Source organism: Homo sapiens, chromosome 6, assembly GCF_000001405.40.
Source record: "Homo sapiens chromosome 6, GRCh38.p14 Primary Assembly".
NCBI lineage: Eukaryota > Metazoa > Chordata > Mammalia > Primates > Hominidae > Homo > Homo sapiens.
This window is the reverse complement of record NC_000006.12, coordinates 167,526,195-167,532,237: the sequence shown is the minus strand read 5'-3', so window position 1 is coordinate 167,532,237 and position 6,043 is coordinate 167,526,195. Positions and strand designations below refer to the sequence as shown.

At 47.6% G+C, this 6,043-nt stretch overlaps 1 long non-coding RNA gene across 1 annotated transcript; it reads left to right on the top strand.

Annotated features, from left to right (window-relative positions):
• Positions 1-1,105: 1,105 nt before the first annotated feature.
• On the top strand, positions 1,106-5,063 carry LOC124901463 (uncharacterized). The gene is made up of 2 exons (XR_007059881.1): positions 1,106-1,236; positions 1,414-5,063. It is a non-coding gene; the product is annotated as an uncharacterized LOC124901463 (long non-coding RNA).
• The last annotated feature ends 980 nt before the right edge of the window (positions 5,064-6,043 follow it).

Below are 6,043 nucleotides of genomic sequence, written 5' to 3'. Positions count from 1 at the left end.
GGAGGTAGCTCTCAGCAGATGGGGGAGCTAGAAGGGAGATGGAGCGGGAAGGTTTTCCCCTGGAGTCAGGCTGCTGAGCAGCCGGCCTCCTCTCCCACCACCCTGGCCAAACTCCGCGTGGTTCCGCAGGAACAGCCTGCGGCGTGCCAGTGTCTCAGTGCCTGCCGCGGGCTCTCCAATCAATGTGCGCCTCTGGCCGTCCAGCTGCCTGGGTGTTCTTCCGCTCACGGTCTCCTCTTGCTGTCTTGCCGCTTGGGTCTTGGGGTTTTTACAGGCACAGGCTGGGGGCGTGCTGGGCCAGGGTGGTTTTGGGAAATGCAACATACGGGTGTGAAGGCAGGAGTGCCTGTCCTCACCTAGCTCTGTGGACACAGGCCCGAGGGTGGAGCTCTAGCCAGGGACCCACCTTTCTCTACCCAGCACTTCCCTGCCTCCTTCCCATATCACTTAGTCCTCCCAACAACCCACGACGGCAGGTGTCAATGTTCTTCTTTCCTGCGGGGAGAAAACGAGGCATGAGAAAGTTACTTTGCTTCCCCAAGAGCACGTGTGTAATGAATGACAGAGCGGGCCTGTAGCCAGGTCTGTCGAACCCCAAATCTGTGCTTCAATCTGCTACACCAAGACAGGCTCTCATAGGAGAGCTCACAACAGGAACTGACTGGGTTTTGCCCTGCACTTTACCCATCCTACAGGGACTCTGCTTCATTCTAGAGAACTTTCACAAGCCCTGGAGCACAGAAGGAGTCCTGCTGTCCAGATGAGGAAGCTGAGCTCAGAGAGATTCACTAACTTACCTGCAGCCACACAGGTAAGAAATCACTTCCTTCACCATCTCACGTTGCAAACCTACTTTTTACTGAAAAACAGACCCCACGTGATATGCAGGCTGCACTTGCGACGGCGCCTTCCCTCTGCGCAGGGTGGAGTCACTTCACACCCAGAATGCGGGTTCTGGGCTCAGGTGTGCTGGTTGCTCCTGCCCCATGACGCTCCCGGGAGAGGGGACTGTGGCAGTGCCTCTGCCTAACGTGGGCCACCGTCAGAGCACCTGCGGCCCCGATGGTTGCCACGGCTCCCCGGCTTTAGGCAGTACAGAAACGGCTTGGCAGCCAGCTATTGTGAGGTAAACCCTGTGGATGAAGAGGTCCAGCTGCTGGCTGCGTCCGCTGTCTGAGTTCTGCATGCACTGAAGGACCTAGAAGAGATTCTTTCACAGGCAAAGGCAGTTTACAGGTCTCACTTTCCCTTTTTCCCTTGGAGTGGGGGAGAAAATCAGGTGGAATTAGTGATAAGTGCTTGGTTTACAATATTGGGTTGATTTTGAAATCATGGATTTTTCAGTTCAGATAAAGACTGAAGTGGAATCTAGCTCTCCTTTGGTCTATCTGAGACTTTTTTTTTTCATCCTAGAAAATAAGATTGGGAAATGAGGTAGACCAGATGTGGAGGCGATGGGCGATCCATGAAAAGGGTAAGAGCCACAGAAAAAAGCTCACAGAAGAGATTAGTTAAAAGAAAACTCTTCAATTTAAAGAGGTAAATAAGGAATATCAAGTGCTTTAAAAAGATTTCTCACTCCAGAAATTACCTCTGCAACCACAGAGTGTATTTCGGCAGTACCTTCCTTAAGGATTTCTCACCCCAGAAATTACCTTTACAACCACAGAGTGTATTTTGGCAATACCTTCCTTTTTATCTGAAAGTGGCAGGCACTGGCCTTTCTTCACGAGACCTCTGCTTATCCATAAGGCAGAAACTCTGATGCCATTTCCACATTGTCTCTCTCCAAGAACACGCAAGCCTGGTGGCAGGTTTGATTTTCAAGCAGCTTATGTGTGTAAGACAGATGCTTCTCCATTCCTCGAAGGTCCTTCTAGTTCTCTTTAAATTACTGTTTTCTCTGTCGCCGTGTCATGTGGAGGAAGGATGACAGAGGGCAAAAGGATGCATCCGAGTGAGAGCCAAGGGGCCAGGCATGCGGGGCGCTTTTGGTACCAGCTCAGGAGATTGACAGTTTGCTTCCACAGCTCCAGATTCCTGGGTCTGGGTCTCTCTTAGCAACCACAGCTTCCAGGTGGACCAGCAGGATGAAAAGGACTTTGATCTTGCAAACTCAAGCTTAACTTCCCGCTGAAAGCAATGGCATGTGAAAACAGGCCAAATGATTCACGACTGTTTCTTGTTCCCAGATTTCATTCTAAGGGGATGCTTCTGGGTGCTCTAGCTCAGCTCCTGGTTTTTCTTTTAGTAGTAAGAGCCTCAGACAAAAAGCTCACTGGCTAACTCTCTGCAGAAAGATGAATTTGCATGGGAAGGTACAAGCAGAACATGCACAGTGTCCTAGTCTAAGAGAACCACTGCCCTCAAATGACCTCCTTATAGTCAATCAGTTAACAGTGTTTCATGAACACCAGCAAGATAGCGAAAGGTAAATCCCATTAAGTTTTCAAAACAATGACCTAAGTATTTTTGCATATTGAGGTATCATTTGCACACAGTACAATGCACACTTTTCTAGTATATAATTTGATGAGTGTGGTGTGTACTCATGTAACCAGGTTAGAATATTCCACCCTTTACAAAGTTTCCTCAGGCCCTTTGCATTGGATCAACATCCTCCTGTTCCCAGCCCCTGACAAACACTGATCTGAGTTCTGCCTCTGTGGTTTTGTCTTTTTCACAAGGGCATGAAAATGGAATCATGTAGCGTGTGTTCCTCTGTGTCTAGTGTCCTGGCACACTGCCGCTGAGAGCACCCGTGCTACTGTGTGCAAGAGTAGCTGCTCCTTTTTACTACAGAATAGCACTCCACAGCAGAGAGACTGCAATTTGTTTTTCCACTCCCAGTGGATGGACATTGGCATTGTTTTCAGTTTTTGTTTTTATTGTGAATAAATCTGCTTTTAGATGTTCATATACAGGACTTGCATGAACATATGTTTTCATTCCTCCTGAGTAAATGCCTAGAATAGTATGCTGTGTTCTATGTAAAGATGGCATCTAACTGTCCAGGGCACTGCCCAGCTGTCTTCTAAAGTAGGTTTCCGACAGGCGGTGTATGGGTGGGTCTCGTGTTTTTAATCTGCTCTGATGATCTCTGCCTTTTCATTGGAATATTCAGACCGCTTATGTTTTGTGTGATCATTGTTGTGGCAGTGTCCTATTTGTCCTTTGTTCTTTTTTTCTCTTTTTCTGCCTTCTTTTGGATTCATCGAGCATATTTTTATAATTCCGTTGTATGTAACCTGTGAGCTCACCAGTCATCCCTTCCAGAGCTTCTGCATTGATTGCTCAGAGGCAGAGGGTGGATGCTTTCCCCTCACTAGGATGCACAGGTCTCTGCTTGGGATCTGGGGCTGAGGAGGGTTTCCTGCCCTCTCAGCAGTTTGCAGCTTCCATTTTACGTTGGAGAAGGTGAAGGAGTTAGGCTGGGTCCTGCCGTGTCCTCCGGGGTCATTCCTGGGTCTCCTGCTCTTTCCTTCCCCTCTAGTGAGAACAAGCAGTTGTTGCAGGCACGTGGAGAGAGCTGGAGAGTGAGACAGGCTCCCCTTGTGTCTGGGGTCTGCAGGGAGTCCAAGCCAGCACCCTAGCCTCTCTTCTGCCTTTAGGAACTCATAAAACCTTTGGCTGCATTCTTCTTATCCACTTCTAGGGCCACATTGCTTTCGTCTAGAATCGTCTGAGACTCTGTGTTGCTTTGTTTTGTTTAATGCAAGAAGCAAGGGGCAGATGGTATGATGTTAACAGATGGAGAAGAAGCTGGAATGACTCAATTTCTACTTTCTTTTCCATCTCCTTTATGTAAATATGGTCTTCAAACAGAAAGGGCAGAGCAAACTTGAGAGAACTGAAATCTCAAATAGAAAGTAATATGTGGCATCTGCTGTCTATAAGGAAGTTTAAGCTGTGAGACCCAGAAGATCTAAAAGATCTTAGAAATGAGATGGCCAAGCCCTTGGAGGTAATCCCTGTGGAATCTTGAGGAATGAGAGAAGACAGCAGAACAAAAGAGATGGACAGATGGTGTGGCCTTCGAGATGGGAATAAGGTTGCATGGAGACCACAGATGAGTGAACGCTGTCTATCTGTGGACAATTTTAGTTTAGATGTAAAAAGATGTCTTGGAAAATTCTAGAAACGAAAGCAACAAGCATTGGCTCACTTAAACAGCCATGCCAAGGTGACCTCATTTCCTGTGCGAACAGGCTTGGGAGGTGTGGGAGCTTCACTGCCTCTTAACTCCAGCCAGGCTCTCAGTCTCCCTGAGGACAAGATGGAGAAATGTAGGTTAGAAATAATTCACACACCTGAATATTCACACACCTGAGTAACTGTTCAGAGCTGGCTGAACAGTTATATCTGATAGGGGTATGTCGACTCTGAAGATTTCTGGCTTGTCCTGGGGCTTAATCCTTGGACCTATTTTATTCAACATTGATTGTCAATGCTCTGAATCATGATGCCCATCACTATCCCCCTGAAGAACTCACCAGCTCTTTCCCCAGGTGTGTGGGGATCCGAACTGAAGAGCGCTTTCCAGGAGACACACTTCGCTGTCCACACAGAGACCAGGACGCATTCGTGGACTCACTTGCCCTAACTTCTGTCATGCTGCTTGCAACGCACGGCCAATCCCAGCATGAATGAAGCCAGCAAGACTTTTCTTGGTGTTTGTTGAGTGGGATTCTGGTGCCTCCTGTGCAGATCCACTTTTTACAAAATTATGTTGACATCTTGCTTATAGGCCTCAAAAAACTCTGAGTGAGATGCGCTGGTTTGCCTTTGGAACATAGGATAGGCACTGTTATCAGAATCTGCTGCAATCTCATACCAAATTGGAATGTTTTCCCTTTATAGCATTTTTAAAACTTTTCCCACAAAATAACAGCATTGCACCGTGTCACGTTATATTTAATTGCATAATGTCAGCCTCCCTTAAAAGAAAGTTGAAAAGATTATACTTTGAAATAGTAATCGTGGGGAAATGCCTGACTTGAGGAGTTCAGCAGTTGTAAATATTCCTGCAACATTAATTGGTCAATAAATATATGCTGACTGGGCCTGTGACATGTAACTCAATGGGAACCTTGGAGAAAACCCTGATTTGCAAGATTTCTGGCCCCAGAAAGCACCCAACAGAGCGTGGCATTTAAAGCCTGCTCATCCAGAAGAAGCCACAATTCCTACATCAGATGTTCACATTGTTATTTTAAAATTCTGGGCTCCAGCTGTACGTGTAGGCACGTACTATGCACCCTACGTACGGGATCCCAGTCACTCCCACTCCCACGAAGGATTTTTCACAGATGTCTGAATTCACGCTGAATTGTATTGTGTCCTATGTGTTTAATGACAGTCTGAGAATTTGGTGGTGAAGGAAATCACACGGCCTATTCTAGTTACTGTTCAATTGCACCGGCATTCTTTTGTGATCTGGAAATAACTCATGTCTTGCCGTGATGTGATTTAATGTGCAATGTTGTAGGGTTGCATGGTATGGTGAAGACGAGGTGTGCGTCCCTCCCGGCTCCAGCAGGCACTGCTTCCTTCTGCTCGGCTCCGTCGGACTCTACCATGCCCTCGATGCGTGGTGTGGGCTGTGACAGGGCCTCCCAGGAAACAAGACTCATCCTGCTCCTCTCAGGAGCTCACAGTGTGTTTGGGAAGAAAAGGCTTATGCAAGAGGCCATTCAGTTGCCATAGGACAGGGTGGGATCCACTGTCACAATGGAACGTTACAGACAATAAATTTGTAATGAGACGAAGGATATTATTTACTAGAAATTCACATGGGGGCTTCTCATGAGATGACAGGAAAAAATACAGTTTCCAGGGAGCTCCCAGCTTCATTCCAGTGGAGTGAGACCCCAAGAGGGATCGTGGAGGTTTGGGATCTTCCAGCCGTCTTGGGGGATCTGGCGCAGGCTCAGGGGTGAGGTGTGGGGCAGGAAGGAGGAAGAGACCCCTGTATGGGAAATCCCGGGGGTGACCCGGGACATTGTTGAGAGTAAGTTCAGAGAGTGGAAGGGTCTGGGGACTC